A 21,793-nucleotide genomic window follows, 5' to 3' on the forward strand; every position below is an offset into this window, starting at 1 on the left:
AAGTTGTAATAAACATTAAGTATTCCCCTTTCTCTTGAATATAAAACAAATATATAATAGGTCAGGTGTGTGTATGTTTATATATATAAATATATAATATATAAAAATATGTTTATAAATATATAAAAATATATGTTTATAAATATATAAAAATATATGTTTATAAATATATAAAAATATATGTCTATAAATATATAAAAATATATGTCTATAAATATATAAAAATATATGTTTATAAATATATAAAAATATATATAAATACATATAAAATATATAATATTTATGAATATATAAATATATAAATAAACAAGTATATACAGATATATAATTCAGTATTCAATTAGGAAAGCAGAAAAATTCCACATAAATATAATATTGAACACTAATTACACAGGTAAGGGAAGAACTGGGAAGCCAAACAGGAAATGCTGAGACACTCTAGAGATTAACAAGAGCGGGAAGTCACCAGTACCCCCAGGGCTAGAAGGGCAACAGAAGGAAGTGGCATTCCCAAACCCCAGATTCTGGTCATCCCACGGAGGCCATACCCTCCATGGGTGCTGGTGTGTGGTGCAGACTGTGTACCAAGCAAGAGCTGGAGTTTGAAAGGAGATGCTGCTGTCCAAGAGAAAGAGAAGGAGAATTGTCCTGTCTTCATCTTTCCTTCCATCATCTAATCTCACATCAGTGCCACCCGTTGGTTGAATCCAGCAAGAAACCAGCTGAAGTAAGTGCCTGGGAAGTGTAGCCCTCCTGTCAAGAAAATGTGGCACATATACACCATGGAATACTATGCAGCCATAAAAAATGATGAGTTCATGTCCTTTGTAGGGACATGGATGAAATTGGAAAGCATCATTCTCAGTAAACTATCACAAGAACAAAAAACCAAACACCGCATATTCTCACTCATAGGTGGGAATTGAACAATGAGATCACATGGACACAGGAAGGGGAATATCACACTCTGGGGACTGTTGTGGGGTGGGGGGACGGGGGAGGGATAGCATCGGGAGATATACCTAATGCTAGATGACGAGTTAGTGGGTGCAGCGCACGAGCATGGCACATGTATACATATGTAACTAACCTGCACAATGTGCACATGTACCCTAAAACTTAAAGTATAATTAAAAAAAAAAAAAGAAAAGAAAATTGCACCAGGAACAAAAAAAAAATAAGAAAAAAATAAAAAAATAAAAAATAAAAAGGCACATCAGTTTAGAAAAAAAAAAAAAGAGGGAATAGGGAGTTACTGTTTAACATGTACAGAGTTTTAGTACAGGATGATGAAAAACCCTGGAGATGTATAGTGGCGATGATCAATGTGAATGTACTCAATGCCTCTGAACTGTACACTTAACCATGCTTAAAATGGTACTTTTTATGTTATGTATATTTTACCACAATAAAAATCAATTAAAAAAAAAACCAAAGGGAAGCAGGGGAAAGGAGAGAAATAAGAGAGAAAGAAAAAAAGTGGGTACAAAAATAGTCCTTACATATTGCCTTGTTGTGAGGATTAAACTATCTGAATTGTGTGAAGCACTAATATGGCACTCATTAGCGTGTATTCAGTTGATGTTTGCTATTGTTATTATTGCCTTAGCTCTAATTACACAATTAAAGTAATGAAAGTGATGCTTAAAACTTCTCACATAACCTAGGATTGTAAACCATTCTAAATGCTTTCCAATCTATTATAGTTTCCTCTAGAGGGACATTATCATGTGCTGAGCTTTATTAGGCAACAAAACATTGCTGAAGGGTACACCAGAGACAACTTGATGAACGAGATACAAAGCTAGCGTAATGTGACAAGTGCAAACAAATCTTCCCCTCACTCAGCTCTATCATCTTGCTTTGATCACATGTTGGTGAACTCTACAAATAACTTTTAAATTATCTTTTGAGAAAATTTAATAATCGTGCTTGGGCTGTCTCCTGAGTTTATTTAAGAAACTTATCTACTATATTGTCAGCATGGAAAACTTAATATCTTGCCAACTAAAATATACTTGTAAGTCATTGGTAAAGTGTTTAATTTCTGTCTTGTTGCATGTCTGTGTTTGGTGTTTGCAGTTAAAAAGACTCCTACATAGTCTTTAATTTCATTTCACTTTTCATCCTTTTAAGACATCTACATCATGTCTGAGATTCTAGCTTATTTTAGGTCATGGAAAAATTCCTGTATGTGTATACTGAACAGACTCTCATGTTTATCCTTCTGTATTTTTGCTGAGCTCTAGAACCATATTTAGTTACTCAGTGGGGATTTCTACTCAGTTTTCCAACAGTAAATCATGCTTACAAGGCAACACATCATTGTTAAGCACAAATCTTCTGCTTTTGACCATGGCACATGTTTGCCTATGTAACAAACCTGCACATTCTGCACATGTATCCTGGAACGTAAAGTAAAAAGAAAAATCTTCTGCTTTTGCTCCTGTAATTTATATCTTGGTGAATGAAATCATCTTCCCCCTCCTAAAATCAGAAAGAGTCATAATAATGTCCCCCACTCACTTCCTCTTTTTCTTTCTCCTGACCCCATCCAAACAGTCAGTACATTGTGAATCCACCTTGTTCAAAAGTCTCCAATCTACTTCATCTTCTCATTTCCACAACCACTGTCTTAGTTCACTCTCATGCCACCCGTTACCCAGCAGACTCCCTAAGATATTGATCTTATCTCCTTGCTTCCAACATGACCCTTTTCCCATCTAGTCTCTAGTGTACAATTAGAATATTTTCACACACACACAATTACAACTTTTCCAAATTTAGAAGTATTTGCTTGTTTCCTATGGTTTCTAGTTAAATTTCAAAATATTAGGCTAATATGCAATGCTGATGAAATTTGTCATTGATGAACTCTATAGCATTATATCCTGTATGTACGATTTATAGCAACAATATGAAATTACTTTTATTACTCTAAGTAGCATCCCTTCCTCAAGAATGTCTTTTCTGCAAGAGCTATCTTACTTAGATGCTTTTTTTCCTTGAATATTCCTATCACTGCAATCATCAGACAGTGCTTTCTTAGTTTTTACATGTGTGCATCTTACTTATTTGACTATAAGCTATTTAGAGGCAAATACCATGGTTCTAGATGTTTCTATTGCAAGTACCTCAAACTATGGTATCCAATATGGTAGTCACTAGTCACATGTCTGTTGAGAACTTGAAATGTGGCTGGCCCAAGTTGAAAGGTGATATAAGGGCAAACTACCCACCAGATTTTGAAGACCCAATATGCAAAATTAAAAAATATATTATTTTTATATTTGATTGCATGTTAAAATAATATTTGGGGCATATTAGATTAATGTTATTGCTAAAATTAATTTCATCTGTTCTTACTTTTTTATGGCTCCTACAAAATTTAAATGACATACGTGGCTGACATTTGTGATTCTCATTAAATGTCTATGAGATGGCACTGTCACAGAATAGAACAGGATCAAGAAGCATTCACAAGTGAAAACAGGCCTTTGAAGGAACACTCTGGAAAAAGTCTAGGCATTTAAACAAGATCGAGAGTGCAAACTAAAGTAGAAAAGAAAAAGAAAAATAGACCACATACTCAGCTTTGCAGTTGAGATTGAGTCGTCTAGGAAGGAGCAGCTAGAAGTCCACATAAGATTTTTTTTTCTTTTTTTTTTTGAGACAGAGTTTCGCTCTTGTTGCCCAGGCTGGAGTGCAATGGCACAATCTCGGCTCACTGCAACCTCAGCCTCCCGGGTTGAAGCGATTCTTCCACCTCAGCCACCCAAGTAGCTGGGACTACAGGTGCCCACCAACACGCCCAGCTAATTTTTGTATTTTTAGTAGGGCCAGGGTTTCACCATGTTGGCCAGGTTGGTCTTGAACTCCTGACCTCGGGTGATCTGCCTGCCTCAGCCTCCCGAAGTGCTGGCATTACAGGCGTGAGCCACCGCGCCCACCCACATAAGTTGTTTTAAGCTTATTTGTCCTGGAGATGAATCTGAATTTTGATTCTGAATCTTGTGTGTATGGGAAAGATTTTTGAAACAGGTGAATATGAGCTACTTAAACATGGAAGAGTGATACATAAATTGTTCTGGAGCCACTTAAAGACTCTTAAAAAATAGCTGCCAAATAAATTTTTTGAAAAACAATACAACCACAATGACAAATAGAAGGGGGTAGCAGATAATAGTAATAACATTTTGGAAAAAGAAATCAGAGAGATAAGTAGTTAATAAGCAATGTGTAAGTAGAAGAATATCTCAAAGATATTAATATTCCAAGAGGGAAAACAAAACATGAACCAAGAAATGTGTCTTATGAAGCACTTCATAAAATATGAAGAAACTCTTGGAATTTCTTGAACCTGAGAGGCGGAGGTTGCAGTGAGCTGGGATTGTGCCATTGCACTCCAGCCTGGGCAACAGAGCAAGACTCCATCTAAAAAAAATAAATAAATCAATAAATAAAAGCTCTTGATGTTAAAAATATGCTGATATAAATGAAAAACTGAGTGGAAGAAATGGAAGATAACATTGAAGATAGCTAGAAATCAGAGCAAACAGAGACAGAAAACAGAAAAGAAGATAAGAAAATTAGATGATTTGCTTAGGAGAGCCTAATAATAGGAGTAACAGAATGAAAAAGTTGAGAAAACAGAGATAAGAAAATTATCATAGAAATATATTTTTAAAATATATTCATTACTAAAGAACGTGAGTTTTAAGCCAGGGGTGGTGGCACACTCCTATAATTCCAGCATTTTGGGAAGCTGAGGTGGGGGAATTGCTCGAGGCCAGGAGTTTGAGACCAGCCTGGGCAACAATGTGACACTCCATTTCTACAAAATATTAAAAAAAATTAATTGGGCTCAGTGGGACACACCTGTAGTCTCAGCTACTCAGGAGGCTGAGGAGGGAGGATCTCCTGAGTCCAGCAGTTTGAGGTTTCAGTGAGCTGTGATTGTGCCACTGCACTCTAGCCTGGGTAACAGAAAGAAATCCTGTCTCTAAAAATAAAAAATAAAATTTTTTTCTAATTAATAGGGTCCCAAATGTCTTACACAATAAATGCAAATAGACCCAGACCAAGAAACATAATTAAAATTTTAGAATAGTGGAGGCAAAGAGAAGCCTCTAGAAGCTTCTAGAGAGAGTTTTATGCAAAGAGTAAAATATCAGAAGGCCATCACACTTCTATTAATAGAACACTGGAACCCTGAAGACACAGGCGACATATTTTCACCTTCTTAGCACAAATAATCTACAACAAAACTGTTAAGCCAAATATCTAGTGTGGGTTTATGGATAAGATAATTTAAGAACTAAAAAAAAAAATATTGTCTATGATCCTTTTACCTTTCTCAGGAGGTTGTGTTCTGCTAAAGTCAAGAAGAAAACCAAGAAACAGGAAACCATGAGATGTAGCAGAAGAGGGAGGCAAAGTAAAATCCTAGGAAGATGCAACAAAAGTATCAAGACCACAGCAAGCCTAGATCAACCAGTCCAAGTCTGAAGGCCTGAGGACCAGGAGCACTGATGATGTAAGTCCCAGTCCAAGAGCAGAAGCCTGATGTCCCAGTTCACATAGTCCACAGAGAGCAAATTCTCCCTCCTCTGCCTTTTTGTTTTATTCCAGCCACTCAACAGATTAGATGATGCCCATCCACACTGTGGAGGGCAATCTGCCTTACTCAGTCTGCTAATTCAAGTCCTAATCTTACCTGGAAACATCCTTGCAGACACACTCAGAAATAATGTTTTAACATCTGGGCACCCCATGACCCATTTAAGTTGATGCATATTTTTAACCATCACAGATTCAATTACAAAGTAATCCATTAAAAGAGTTTAATATGTATGCTTCTGGAGAGGACAAAAATAATGAAAATATTAAGCATCTACTCTTTCTCATAACCTGTCTTACAGAACTCTTTGAGTTTTAAAAAATGACTTAACATGTATGAGTAAATATGACTAATTAACAAAATGTGTATGTATGCAAGTCCAGAAGCACTGCACAGTTAGAGCATATAGATAGTTAAATGAGGACAAAAAAATCTGTAAACAAAGTCCAGTTTATAATACATACCAGTTCATGAAAAATCAAGCAGTCTCAACATGGTGCTAGAAAGCTCATTTTCTGATTTTAGGAAGAACCATGGTTCCACACTCAAACTTCAGCTGGTTGGGTTTAAAACATCTTTTTCAGTTTTGTTTACACATTATCAATAAGTAAATGTGGCTTACATGAAACTTTACAGAGTTTATAATTTGTACAAATTTTGATACACAGTATATGTGAAATATGTCTTCACAATAGCAAGGTAGACCTATATATAAGCCTGCTGTAAGGCACCTATTATCAAATAATAGTAGGAAACATTACTGAAGATTTTGGAGGTGTGTGGCATTGCCATCAACCACTGATTTATGTATTTTCTCATTCAGTAATCCCATGAAATAGAGTGAGCTGTGTGTATCATTGATAGGAAGTTAAAGCTCAAGAAATAAAATAATTTGCCCAAAGTCCTGCACCTGCTTTTGATCCCTGAGCTGTAAAGACTCTTCTAAATGGGTGGTGATTGTTTCATAGTAATCATTTTAAGAGGTGTTACATTTACTTCGCTGATACTGCTACTATTGTTAAATCATAAAAAAGTGTAACAATTTACATTCGGAAACGTTGTTCCCATCATTCTTGAATATTTTCAGCTGGCAGATATTTCGGTCTTTGAGAATGGATTTGATTTTTCTTTAATAGACAAAATTCAATTGGAGTGAAGCCTGATAAACTAAATTAATAATTAACTTGAGAAATGTTTTCTTTTTTGGTCAAAAGCTGCATTTGTGAATAAAAGGTATGTTTTGTAATTAGTAACTTTGCTAGGAAGGCATTTCTCAAAGAACTCCAAATATGTGGTATGTAGATGATGTCATGAAAGTGTGTACAGCTTTGCATAGCAATATTCTGAATGACATTTGAATGCATTTCTCTCCCTCTCTCTCTTTCTCTCTCTCTCTAATTTATCTATCTATTCATTCATCCCTCTGTACTTGTTAAAAATTCCATGCATTTAGGAGTACATGTGCCATCATACTCATCAAGAACTTGCATTAGGGAAATTTATGTATATTTCTGGAGGACACGTCTTTTCTTCCCAGTCTCGGTCATACTTGCTTTGCCTTGCATTCCCTAGCACTCTGTGTTTGTGTTGTACCATGTCCATAAATGCTTACTGCTGTGAAGGGATCCACTATGAAAGGCATAAAAACATTCTACATTTTTGCACTAAAAATACTAAAAAATATTTGGAAATACTTGGAAATGGATTGTTGTTGTCCCTCCTTTTTCGTAAACATACCTAAAAAGAGTGAGGTTGCATCCCAGAGGGTATTTCTCAGAAGCTGGGTCTTCTGCTTGCTTATAGGGTCCAAAGTTCTCCTTGAAAGAGAAATGACTGCTACACTGTCACTTTCTAAAGAAGAGTCTTAGTTTTAAAATTTCTTGGTCACTTTTGTTCAGAGTTTGGTTTACTGAGCTGTAGAGTACCTGTAGAGCATACATTTTGTTTTAGCCTATTAGATGGTTAATATTGAGTGTCAACTTGATTGGACTGAAGGATACACAGTATTGATCCTGGGTGTGTCTGGAGGGTGTTGCCAAAATACATTAACATTTGAGTCAGTGGGCTGGGGAAAGCCGTTTCACCCTTAATCTGGTGGGAACAAGATAATCAGCTGCCAAGGAATATAAAGCAGGCAGAAAAAGGTGAAAAGGGGAGACTGGCCTAGCCTCCCAGCCTACATCTTTCTCCGGTGCTGGATGCTTCCTGCCTTCCAACATCACACTCCAAGTTCTTCAGTTCTGGGACTTGGACTGGCTCTCCTTGCTCCTCAGCTTGCAGACAGCCTATTGTGGGACCTGTGATTGTGTAAGTTAATTCTTAATAAACTCCCCTTTATATGTGTATCTATCCTATTAGTTTTGTCCCTCTAGAGAACCCTAATACAGGCTGTTAATTAATTTTATTGAATTTCTCCATAAAACAATGATTTTAAAGAACAAACCTGAATGAATATTAAATCCTAAAGTCCTCATTATTTGAATACAATAAATTATTTTACTTTGTTGGTTAAATGAGATCTAGCTAAAGCTTAATCACACTATTTAAGGAAAGAAGAGACGTGCGACCAAGAAGTCAGAAATACTTCCTGGAAATTGCTTCTTTTGATTTTGCCATTTCATCATGCAGCATGGTGACAGGTTCCTGGGCCTATTGCTGTGACAGCATGATCACGAGGCAGCATGTGCACTTGGCTCACTGTGACAATCATCCTAAGCCAATTATCCGCACATGATGAAATGCTCATCCTCAACGCTATTTCAATAGTGATTCAGAACCTATCTACTCATTTCCTAGTGCTCTCTTTCTATCCTGGTTTTCCTTTCGTCAGAAGTGATGTAAATAAAATACTTTGAGGTTTCTGGAAAGGAGAAAGGAGTTTATGTTAATATCCTTCTAATTTTCAGCCCTTAGTGCAGAATTCCAAATTATGGCTGAAACTTTGGGAGGTCAGCTAGATGCCTGCTTTGTGTTTTTATTACTCCCTTCCGGACGTACGTGCTTATTTCAGAGATATTTTGTAATCTCTGCTCTTACTCAGAAACTAAGTGGCAAGGAAGCAACCTTAACCATAGAACCCTTTAATAGCAAGAGAAAAGATTTTGCTAGAAAGACTAATCATTTAATAAAGGTAATTATCTCTGGTATCTATTAACTTCAGTAGTCTGAATTCTAGTTTATACCTCAGAATTAAAGTTTACACCTCATGATTAGACTCTGCATGATTCCTCATTCACTGAGAATGGCTCTCCAGAGAACATTGCCTGGCTAGAATAATGAAGCTTTCTATCCTCAAATACCAGAGATAAAAAAGCACAAGGAAAAAGACAGATATATCTCATACACAGGTGAACTATTCTATGTAAAAGATAAGTTGAAATTTTCTACCCAGCTTTCATTTCCAAGTCCTGGTAGAGACAGAAGTATTTGACCTGGCTGAAAAGCAAGCTGACTTAAGGGGTATGATTATGTCGTACTTTGAACAATGTGGCTTAAACCATTATTGGAAGTTGGTACAAATAAACCTCATAATTTGAGAAAGATTGGAAAATATAAGGCCTTCGACAAAATGCTCACGCAGAGAACTTTTCCATCTTGTACTTCTCCTTAACTGCTTCTACTCTTGCCTTGTCCCTGTCTTCTATCACAAAGGGATCATGATCTGTAATTGATATGCTAACTTTTGGATGGCAGCAAAGGCTTAATGAATTATTCCTTCTGGACAGTTTTTGAAGGTCAACGTTCTTCAGGATCTTAAGCTAAAAGATGAGTCAGGGGACATGTAAGCACCGCTGAGAATATTCTTGGTCAGAATTTTTAGAGAAAATATGTCCCATGTCAGAAACACAAGGACACACATTACATGTCTCCCCTTTGCTTTCAGAGGAAGGAATATTTCCTCTGCTTCTCTTTGTTTTCAGACACAACCTGCACTTTATAGCCATTCTCTTAGGAACAAAGAATATATAAAGGAAATAAAGCACACGGTCTCTTTGCTTTCGGAAAGCTATTTGTGAAAGTTATTTGCATATATTTTTCTCTTCAGGAGAGTTTAGAAATCACTGGAGAATTGCTTTGTGCTTTAATGGACAGTGGAGGGATTTAGTAATCAGAGAGATGGGGCACTGAATCCCAGCCCAACAGCTAACTGGCTTTGTGATTGGTCTCAGTTTGAATGTCCTCATCCATAATAAAAGGATGATAGAGATCCTAACAAGGTCCTTCTGAGCACCTGCCAGCAGACAGCCTTTGGACTGGAACGGAAACATCAATTCTTCCCTGGGTCTAAAGTCTGCAGGCCTAACACGTAGATTTTTAGACTTGCTAATCCCCTCCATAATTGCATAAGGCCATTCCTAAAATAAATCTTTCTCGCTCTCTCTCCCTCTCTCTCTTTCTCTGTCTCTCCACACACACACAAACACACACACACACATGCATGCATGGACACACACACTCACATCCTATTGGTCTGTTTCTTCAGAGACCCCTAAGTAACACAGATTTTGGAAGCAAGACCACTGATATTTGATAGATCTTAATTAAACTCTCATTTTGTCACATTTGTAATGTCTGAGAAGGATGATGGCTATCTTTTTTCCTTTATTCATTTTTACATCCTCAGTTTATGTCAGAAAGGTGACAAAACTGGATGAACACCTGAACTCAAATAAGTCTTAGGAGTCAATAATGAAGTATAAGAATAATTTATTGGGCGCCTACCAGATACCTGACTTCCTACTTGTTGACCCAGAAATTATATTGATTTATACGCATATCAATATATATGAATCAATATCATTCAAAATGAATGATTCAATTGTCCATTCACTCACTGATAAGCTCAACAAACATTAAATGAGTCACAATTATGTATCAGTGTGTTACTTGCAGAGGATGCATGAATAATTCTCTAGTGGAAAGATGCATACATAAATCATTACGATAATCCTCGCAATTAACATTTGATGAGTTCTTACTAAGTGCTGTGCTCTTTGCTAATCCTTTTACATGAATTATGTTATTTACACCTCAGAATGACTTTACGAGACAGGTGCTATTATTATATCAATTTTACAAATGAGTAAATAGGACACAGATGAAGGAACTTGTTTAAGGTCAAGTAGCTGGTTAGTATTTACAGCAGAGGCTCTGAAGCCTCTTAGACACTTTGATCTCAGCTGGGGGATAAAGGACATATGAGCAGTTTGAAGCCTATGAGTATGAATCAAGTTTCACAGATGAGATCATCTTTGAGCTTGGAGGGTGGGAGAAAATAAAGAAGGACAGATTCATAGGACCCGGGCCAGAAATGGCTTTATTTTTTACACCATCATGTGGAAGGAAACGATAGTTAAACTTTTCTTCTTTTTTAATCTTTTTTGAGACAGAGTCTCGCTCTGTCTCCCAGGCTGGAGTGCAGTGGTGCGATCTCTGCTCACTGCAACCCCTGCCTCCCAGGTTCAAGCAATTCTCCTGCCTCAGCCTCCTGAGTAGCTGGGACTACAGGTGCATGCCACCACGCCTGGCTAATTTTTTGTATTTTTAGTAGAGACAGGATTTCACCATGTTAGCCAGGATGGTCTTGATCTCCTGATCTTGTGATCCACCCACCTCGGCCTCCCAAAGTGCTGGGATTACAGGGGTGAGCCACTGCACCCGGCTGACATTTAAACTTTTTTAAAAGGCAAATTATATAATCTGATTTGGATTTTAGAAAAATAACTCGTAGCTGGAGAGAAGGAAGATTGGAAGAGAATTAGATCAGAGACAGGGAGATAGGTGATAGAATGCACAGTTATCTGGGTAAAATTGATGAGAGACTGAGGTAAAGTGGCAGGCTGGGTGGAGGGATGAGATATGTCACAAGGAGGGCTGAGTGGCTCGGTTAATGTATTGGTTTGGAGGCTTGCAGGAGAGTGAGAAATCTTGGATGACAATCACCATCCACCACCAACATATTTCTATTCCGGTTGACTAGGGTGGCGATGATGCCATTCTCTGTAATAGTGACCAGGGACAGTGCATAATCTGCTAGTGGGCAGGGGGCTGGGAGGATGGCTTCTGTCCCATGTTAAGTTTAAGCAGCCCATGCATACTGAGGAGGAGAGTCCATTAGTCTGAATATAGAGATCTAGACCTCAGAAGGAAGGCTGGGGCTGAGATATCAATGTAGGGATTATCAGCATTCAGGAGGTGGCTGAGGCATTTAGAAGGTATGAGGCCAGGGAGAGTGTGGACAGAGAGGAAAGAAGATGCTCAAGGTCAGAACCACGGTGAACTTTAATAGTTAAATCCAGAAAGGTAGAGGAGGCCACAAAGGAGACAAATAAGAAGTGAGGGAGGCCTTGTAACTTATTTTTTAAAAAGTTTTTTTGAATGGCTATGCAAACTAAAATGCAGTTACAGTTAGCCTTTCATATCCATGGGTCTGTGGATTCAGCTAACACTGGATGGAAAATATTTGGAAAAGAGAAAATTCCAAAAACCAAAACTTGGATTTGCCTTGTATCAAATACTATATATATTTATATTTATATAGTATATATATTTATATTTATATATTATATATATTTATATTTATATATTTTATATATATATATATATATATATTTTTTTTTTTTTTTTTTTTTTCTGAGATGGTGTCTCACTCTGTCACCCAGGCTGGAGTACAGTGGTGTGATCTCAGCTCACCGCAACCTCCGCCTCCTGGAATCAAGCGATTTTCCCACCTCAGCCTCCCGAGTAGCTGGGATTACAGGCACATGCCACCACGCCTGGCTAATTTTTGTATTTTTAGTAGAGACAGGGTTTCGCCATGTTGGGCAGGCTGGTCTCGAACTCCTGACTTCAGGAGATCCAATTGGCCTACCTCGGCTTCTCAAAGTGCTGAAATTACAGATGTGAGCCACCATGCCCAGCCTCAAATACTGCTTTGAATCCATATGAAGAAAGTAATATGTAGGCATTGTGTTAGGTACTATAAGTAATCTAGAGATGATTTAAAGTATACAGGAGGGTGTGTAGAGGTTACATGCAAATCCTATACCATTTTATATAAGGTACTTGATCATCTGTGGATTTCAGTATACTCAGTGGGTCCTGGAACCAGTCCCTCATGGATATAGAGTGGTAACAAAACAGAAAGTAGGTTCAGAGAAAGATGTCAACAATTTCTGAAATATGGAAGTAGATGAAATTCAGAGGAAAAGTGAATGGAATAACATCCCTACCATGAGAGTGATACTGAACTTTTTCTTCTGTATTCGAACTCTATTTACATATTTAAAAGGGTAATATATAGCTTTGGCCACTTTAGTTTTTTGCTTTTTTCTTTCTCATGATTCTTAACCATGTGAATGATGATGTATATGACTGCATTTTTTGTTATTTATAATGATTTATTCATAAAACATCTTATAGTGCATGGCCAGTTGTCTCCCAAATTTAATTTTTTAAATTTCTACACGTACAACTGTGCTTTTTTGTTACAGTGGAGAGGTCTTTGAGCTGACATCTTTTCATCAAAAGGTTATAGATTCTTCTCACACTTCGCAGTTTCAATTGACAAAAGAATTGCTTTTTTTTTTCATAGCATTTTCCCAACTGCTCAGGATATTGGAATGGCTACATGTATAAAACAAATGACTCTTCTGACATTGGACATTGAATGGCTCCACTTTCTCACACATTCTTGGACTATGCAGTGTTTTTCCTGTGCAGGGCCTGTGACCTACAGATGGCCATGGCAGATTCAATAAAATGAAAAAAGCTAAACAAAACACAAAGATGCTCATTATTACATTATTCTACGTTTTCCTTTTTCTTCTCATGGGATTGTTTGACAATGGCTAAATTTAGTGGTTGGCATTCAGCATAAATGATTGGTGGTACAGGATCTCGCTATACAGAACTCTATTTCAGCAGAATTGATTTCTAAAATGCTGTTCACTTATACGCAGGGGAATCATAAATTTTAGCACAGTGTTGATCTATATATACTTCCCAGTGGAAAAGGTCTCCTTTGGCAGTAGAAAGACTTGAAGTAAAAATTACTTAGAAAAGTTCTGGATTTGAGAATGGAGATATGAAATAAAATAATATTTTTATTAAATTTTTTAAAAGTTTATTATTTATTTTTTAGAGACATCATCTTGCTCTGTTGCCTAAGCTCGAGTATAGTGGTACAATCATAGTTCACTGTAACCCCCTCCTGGGCTCACATGATCCTCCTGCTTCAGCCACCAGCACATGCTACCATGCCCCGCCAAAATAATATTTTAATCAAATAGATGGTAAATTATAATCTTAGGAAGTGTGATAATTCTAGTACTCAAATATCTTTCACTATTAATATTATTTGAATAATCCTAGGTTAGATCATTATAACATATACTTGGAAAGCAAATAATAATGCTGATTCGTTGTAAAATAAATGCAAATACATTTTGTGTTAAAGAAAGCTGATATCTTCAAAAAAGCCAGTCCTGATATTCTTTGATTTTCTTTTGGCTTCTGTTTTGAGAAATGGTAAAATATTAGAGCATTAATGTCAGACTTGCCTGACACAATATTTTCTTCTTGTTTCGAATGGTCAACTACTAACATCATGGTGTTCCCTTGGTTTTGAGATGCTTTTCACAGCTAATAGGTGTGATGAGAAAGAATCATAATAATACTCCGTGATCTGGAGAAGCATTAAGAGGGCAGCGGGGCGGGGGGGTAATGTAGTGGATAAGGTCAAGGGCTTCAGTATTAAATAGACAGGGCTTCAGGTCCTAAGTTTTACTGTGTGATCCTGGGCAGGCTTTGTTTTTTGTTTTTTTAAAAATTTCAAAGCCTTGATTTCTTCATCTGCAAAATGCTGATGTAGTATTTCAAACACTAAGGTCTACCACCTTAGAAAAATCCGCTGTAAGTGGCAATTTGGGTCAAAACAAACATGTCACGTTAATGGAATCGTGTTTATCAAGCTGATTGGGAGAAGGCATTTTGGAGTCCCTAGGGCAGGACTGTGGTAGGGATGTAGGGATGCACATGGCCTATTGTGGGAGATACTGGGGTTTGGTATGCAGAGTGGGGTAGAATTTGTCCAAGACAACCCACAGTTGTTTGGTGGTGGGTACAGAGTTGACAGCAGAGCCCTGGTTGAAGGAAAGCCAGCTGTTAAGTAAGAAGCCCTTGTCTTTTCCAATGGCCACATAAGTACAGGAATGACAGGGTAAGTAAAGATGTTAGTACCTGGGAGAATGGTAAACAGGATATGGAATGTGGATAAATGGTTTGGAACTAACAGGGTGATGAAAGCAACTACCTCATACATAACATGAAAGAAGCATGTGAGGTGTCTACAGCTGTGAGCTTGGCCAATAGAACTTATAAACTATACACTTGTGTATTATTAGCATTATGATTTTTGAGCAATGGGTTGGAAAAATGTAGCCTCAGGGCCGACCTCCTGAGATTATGACTTGTGTAAAAGCACAAGACTTTGTGTTTAGAAGGAACTGGTGCTTGGTTTGAGGCTTCTTTGACATTTTTAATATTTTTTGAACAAGGAGCTTGCACGCTTATTTTGCATTGAGCCCTAGACATTTTGTAGGCAGTCCTGTGTAGCATGTCTATCACAGACATGTGGTTTTGACTCAGTCACCCCACCTCCCTGCCTGTGGGACATTTGACGATGTCTGAGTTGTTTTTGATTGTCACAGCTGGTGTATGCTCCTGGCATCTATTTCATAGAGCTCAGAGATGCTATAATTGGACTGAACATGGTGGGTCACACCTGTAATCCCAGCATTTTGGGAGGCCAAGGTGGGTAGATCACTTGAAGTCAGGAGTCCGAGACCAGCCTGGTCAACATGGTGAAACCCTGTCTCTACTAAAAATACAAAAATTAGCCAGGTGTAGAGGCACATGCCTGTAATCCTAGCTACTCTGGAACCTCAGGCAGGAGAATAGCTTGAACCCAGGAGGTGGAGGCTGTAGTGAGCCAAGATCATGACACTGCACTCTAGCCTGGGCAACAGAGTGAGACTTCATCTCAAAAAAAAAAAAAAAATGCTGTAAACATCCTATAATGCACAAGTGACAGCCCCGTAATAATTACTTGAATTTTTTTTTTTTTTTCTTTTTTTGAGATGGAGTCTCGCTCTTTCGCCCAGGCTGGAGTGCAGTGACGCGATCTCGGTTCACTGCAAGCTCCGCCCCCCGGGTTCACGCCATTCTCCTGTCTCAGCCTCCCGAGTAGCTGGGACTACAGGCGCCCTCCACTACACCCAACTAATTTTTTGTATTTTTAGTAGAGACGGGGTTTCACCGTGTTAGCCAGGATGGTCCTGATCTCGACCTCGTGATCCACCTGCCTCGGCCTCCCAAAGTGCTGGGATTACAGGCATGAGCCACTGCGCCCAGCCAAGAATTACTTGATTTTAACTATCAATAGTGCCAAGGTGGAGAAACCCTTATTTAGAATATTTTAATAAAAACAAATCCGTCTGTGGATCCTTGGACAACATTATTGTTAGCAAATCTGGGAAGGTGCAAGGTTGACTGGTAAACTCTGGAGGAATTAAGCTCCATCTAGTTCTGTGTTGCACATTTGGCATGGCATTCCTGCTAATGGGAGGATGTATTTTTATAACTGAGTCAAGGTATCATAAAGTTGAACCTAATGGATGCCAGAGGAGACTCATTTGACTTGGCAGCTATAAATAGCTCACCAGCAGCACCTGTGTAACTCTTATAAGCCTTATTTTTAAAATCTGGCAATGAAAAGATGGATTCTGGCTGAATGGTCACAAAAGCTTCTTTTCTAAGTGTCAAATCACACTCCTTGCTGTAGTTCACTTCTGGGTCAGTTTCCTATTAGCTCAGAAAAAAAAAAAAACCATCTCATTCCCTTACATGCATAGGTTAGAACAATGCACTGTTTAAGGCAGGGTTTTCCTAAAGAGTTTTGGAATAAATGCTTTACCATATAAACAGGGCCCTATCAGCTATTTACTCTGTTGTCGTGTTCATTTGTTTTTGTGGGTTATAAGGATTGAGCTAAACAGCCTTGTGCCCTAGAGATTATTTTACATGGACCAACATTGCGGGTTTCCTTCCTATGTAGGCAGGGCTGCTTCAGTCACAGGAAAACTATTTTATGGCCCCAGATCTATCACCTGTATCTAAGGGTCATGTCAGAAATGTGGGCAAGTATGACCAAGGATGTAAAAGGAAAACAGGTGATGGCAAATGGACAGACTCATTAACATAACTGGAAAAATAACTCAAAATGCATAACGTCATTACTGTGGGACAATCCCAGTCCATTTGTGCAAGAAAGCCAGCAGGGTTGTTTTAAATTTACATTTTAGACCATGGAGTTTTCTTTTATGTTTCTTCCCACGTGGCATCAACACTCCTTATCGCTTGTCTGGAAAGACTTGAGGATTAACTGCTAATAAATTACATTATCTCCAAAGTAAATTTAAGTGTAGTCATGGATTCTAAGTCTCGTTTCTCTGCTTTCAAATTGTTTACATATTGGTTGTCTGAACTTTGTAATCCCATTCGAATTTTAAAAAGTGATTTTCATGATTTATTACAATGACTGCATTTTAAATACATCCTAGAACTCAAGACCGCAGAGAAAGTTATACAACCTGGAGTTTCTCAGGCTCTTCAACATCTGAAATGTTTAACATGAGAGAGATTGTACACATCAGGATCTCTTATCCCTGATAAAATCTTAGAATGTCTACTCTTTACATATAGCACAAACTAAAAAAAAGACTAAATCAATCCCATTAAAGAGTGATTTTAATAAATAGGTTGGTGCAAAAGTGGTTGCGATTTTTGCCATTACTTTAAAAAACAAAACAAACAAACAAACAAACAAAAAAAAAATGACAAAAACCGCAATTACTTTTGCACCAACCTAATATTACTGAGGTTTAATTTTTTCTATGTGGACAAGGGAAAGTTTGTTTCTGGAGAATTTTTACATGTTTGCAATCTTTTAGTAGTATTTTTTACCCTAAAGGTATGTAAACAATAACTTTATAGTTGATTATGCTTTTCAGAGTTAAGTATAACTCAATCATTCTGATCTAGGGAGACTATTCTTAAGAATTGTTTTCGGCTGGGCGTGGTGGCTCAGGCCTGTAATCCCAGCACTTTGGGAGGCTGAAGTGGGCGGATCACGAGGTCAGGAGCTCAGGACCATCCTGGCCAACATGGTGAAACCCCGTCTCTACTAAAAATACAAAAATTAGCTGGGCGTAGTGGAGGGTGCCTGTAGTTCCAGCTACTCGGGAGGCTGAGGCAAGAGAATTGCTTGAACCCAGGAGGTAGAGGATGCAGTGAGCCGAGATTGCACCACTGCACTCCAGCCCCGGTGACAGTGCGAGACTCTGTCTCAAAAAAAAAAATTGTTTTCACAATGTATCAAAACATAATTTTAAAATAAAACTGGAGGAATAATTTGCATAATTTTTTCCATAGAAGAAAAGGAATAAGAAAAGGTATCTATTTTCTAAGATGTGCTATAGATTGAATTGTGATCCCCCCGGGTTCATATGTTGAAGTCCTAAACTCCAGTACCTCAGAATGTGACTGCATTTGGATATAAGGTCTTTACAGAAGGGATTGAGTAAAAATGATTGTTAAGTTGGGCCTGAAGCCTAGAGTGCATTTATAAGAAGAGAAGATTAGGACACAGACACACACAGAGGGAATGGCATGTGAGGAGACACAGGAGAAGAAGGCCATCTGCAAAATAAGAAGAGAGGCTTGGGACAGATCCTTCTCTCTTGGCTTTTGGAAGAAACCAACCCTGTTGCCACCTCAATCTTGGACTTCTAGCCACTAGAAATGTGAGAAAATAAGTATGTGTTGCTCCAGCTCCCATTCTGTGGAATTTTGTTATCGCAACCCTAGGAAACTAATACATCATACAACTATTTTTTGGCATGGAACATGGATTTTGTTTACCTTTGATTTTTTAGCATTGATAGCTGTATCTTGAAAATAACAGATGTTCAAAAAATGTTTCTGTTTTTGCATTGAGCTATCTGGATTGAGAGGAGGATTTATTTATCCTTTGTAGCACAGACCCCCTGAAGTCCATCAAAAGTTCATATGTCAACTTCTAGAGCAATGTAATTCAGAACTACATGTCCCACCCAGCCTCCTTGCATCTAAGTGGGCCACTTCATCATGTCTCCTTATCAGAGAATGACAGGGAATGATTGCCAAGTGGCTTTTTTTTGGCCAAGCATGGAAGGAGCACATGCACCTTCTTCATTCTCTTTTCCTTTCTGCCTCCTGGATGTGAATGCCCAAGGCAATCCGGTACTGAAGATTCTGAAGCCGCCTGAATCCCTAAGAGCATGAACAGAACAGAAGCACTTCCTCACCCCATGTAACCTTCTTGATGAGGCATCTCTAAGGGACTGTTACTTAAATGGGAAATAACCTCTCCTGCGTTTAACAACTGAGATGCTATGGCTCATTTGTAGAGCAGATAACATTACCCTAAGCTGTATAGATGTGGTTATATGCAGCATGTGCTACTAAAATAAAAACCTAAAATATATGGCAGTGGCTTGGCAGTCAGGCAGCAACCAAAGAGGAAACACGCTGCACAAAGAACCACTTTTCTTTTTTTTTTTTTTGAGATGGAGTCTCCCCTTGTTGCCCAGGCTGGAGTGCAGTGGGGAGGTCTTGGCTCATTGCAACCTCCGCCTCCAGGGTTCAAGCGATTCTCCTGACTCAGCCCCCGAGCAGTTGGGACTACAGGCGCCCGCCACAACACCTGGCTGATTTTTGTATTTTTAGTAGACATGAGGCTCTACCATGTTGGCCAGGCTGGTCTTAAACTCCTGACCTTAGGTGATCCACCCGCCTTGGCCTTCCAAAGTGCTGGGATTACAGGCGTAAGCCACCACATCTGGCCAGAACCACATTTTTTATGGCAAAACATTTGGTAAAATTTTGCTTGTAATACGTTGAAAGACTGACTACCTGTTTACTAAGCCTGTAGGGGGAAAAGTTTGGAAAAAGTCAGATATTAATAGCTTATGTTGGTTGTCATTTGCTGAGGTGAGCAAGTTATTACAAGGAAAGAGATGAGCTCAGGCAATAATTGGTGTGATTGAGAGCTTACAGAGATGAGAATAAAACAGTGCAGGAATTGAGGCCTCTTGGGGTTGGAAAAGCTTCCATTGCCAAAATGAGAAGACCTAAGGCCTAAAAAGCTTTCAGTCTCAAAGGCCCATTAAGACTCAGCACTGTGTCAAAGGCCGCATAAAATGTGGATTTTCTCATCCATCTGATTGTTATAGTAGCAGTGTAGTCAACATGATCTTGAAATGGAGAGCTATCGCAGTGAAACCAAGGAGTAGACCTGGTGTGAGGACAGTATCTACAAAGAACTTGGGGTATTATTCTTGATACATGGATGCAAAGAATTCACGGTAGGGTAGCCAGATTTAGCAAATACAAATATAGGACACTTGGTTAAATGTGGATTTCAGGTAAACAACAAATAATGTTTTAGTATAGGTATGTCCCTTTTAATCTATTCTATAGTAAATATAGTATACAATATGTGGGGCAAACTAACGCTAAAACATTATTTGTGGTTTATCTGAAATTCAAATTAAACTGTGGGCACTCTGTTTTATCTGGCATCCACAATTCATGGGCCATGAAGATTTTGAAGGGAGCTATATTACAAAGAAGCCATAAGCCCAGTACTCTGAGTATTAAAATCTTTAAATAACACTTGGGTCCACTCCCGAAATTTCAGAAGAAACAAGTGAGCATGGAAATCTGAGGAGCCTGCTATGAGGGCATGACTTCCTAATGTCTACTTCAGATGTGGCATGGAGAATAACATTTAAGGAAGAAATTTCCAGAAGGCAGAGTTACGGGCTATGGAGAACAATGAACAAGGATATTTCTCCTAGAAGTAGAATTAGGATCTACTCAAATACTCCCAGTGCTAGGACATTTGCACCTTCTTGTGTTTTTCCATGATTTCTGTGTATGTTGCTACTGAATCTCCTATTTTCCTTGTCATGGATGATGATTTTTCTCGCACCGATCCTTGCTCTGTTGTTTTATATTGACTGTGAGCAAATGCATAAAAGTTGATGATAACATAATTTATTATTTTCTGGTTTATGAAGAACCCTATCTGGATTGGAGGACAGAGATCCTAGACTTTGAGCTGGATGCTGTAATGGGATAACACTTAATGTAGTTCCCTAGAGAGAAGTATAAGAGTTCTGTATGTGGGAGGGAGTCCACACATAGACACTGAGAGGCTACAAGGGCTGAATATTCCAGCAATCTGCCTCTCAAGTCAGTTTTTTTCCCTTTGCATAGGAAAGGGTCAGCAAATTTTTCGGTCAAGTTCCAAAAAGTAAATATTTGACACTTTGCAGGCCAAGAGGTAAAATAGGGGACATTATGTAGGTACTTTAATAACAACCATTTAAAACTGTAAAACACATTCTTGGCTGGCAGGCCATATAAAAATAGGCAGGAGGCTGGATCTGACCCAAGCCTGTAGTTTTTGATTCTTGGTACTGAGCTGTTGGTAGGAAGCAGCTTCCTAGCTAGGGACTTTTTTTTTGCCCAGGCTTCTTTGCATTTTTTTGGGATCATGTGACTAGTTCTTACCAATGAAACGTGAGCAGAGTAAGTCACCTTTAACATGAAAGTGTGCCATTTTCACATTTTCTTTCCTGTCTTATCACCTGACTTTAATGCATAGTCAGCCTAGAAAGTCAACAATTAAAAATGCAAAATAGAGACCGAGTGCGGTGGCTCACACCTGTAATCCCAGCAATTTGGGAGGCCAGGGCGGGCGGATCATGAGGTCACGAGATCGAGACCATCCTGGCTAACACGGTGAAACCCCGTCTCTACTAAAAATACAAATAAAATTAGCCGGGTGTGGTGGCGGGCGCCTGTAATCCCAGCTACTCGGGAGGCTGAGGCAGGAGAATGGCGTGAACCTGGGAGGCGGAGCTTGCGGTGAGCCGAGATCGCGCCACTGCACTCCAGCCTGGGGGACAGGGCGAGACTCGGTCTCAAAAAAAAAAAAAATGCAAAATAGAAATCAGCTGGCTCCCTAAGGAGAGGCTAAAGCAGATGTCTACAACTCCAAGGACA

The 21,793-nt window shown here is 38.5% G+C and overlaps 2 annotated features.

Moving 5' to 3' along the window:
• Nucleotides 20,853–21,022: an enhancer, noted in NCBI's record as "experimental_61891 CRE fragment used in MPRA reporter constructs". NCBI's record gives its function as "activates a minimal promoter by MPRAs in K562 erythroleukemia cells, with activity observed for the non-introgressed 21:28462554 or rs117927596 variant allele {active_cell/tissue: K562}" and the evidence as "EXISTENCE:reporter gene assay evidence [ECO:0000049][PMID:34662402]".
• Nucleotide 20,938: a transcriptional cis regulatory region, noted in NCBI's record as "Neanderthal adaptively introgressed variant 21:28462554 (GRCh37/hg19 assembly coordinates) or rs117927596 in the experimental_61891 CRE". NCBI's record gives its function as "modulates activity of the experimental_61891 enhancer by MPRAs in K562 erythroleukemia cells {active_cell/tissue: K562}" and the evidence as "EXISTENCE:reporter gene assay evidence [ECO:0000049][PMID:34662402]".

This window comes from Homo sapiens, chromosome 21, assembly GCF_000001405.40.
Source record: "Homo sapiens chromosome 21, GRCh38.p14 Primary Assembly".
Taxonomy (NCBI): Eukaryota; Metazoa; Chordata; class Mammalia; order Primates; family Hominidae; genus Homo; species Homo sapiens.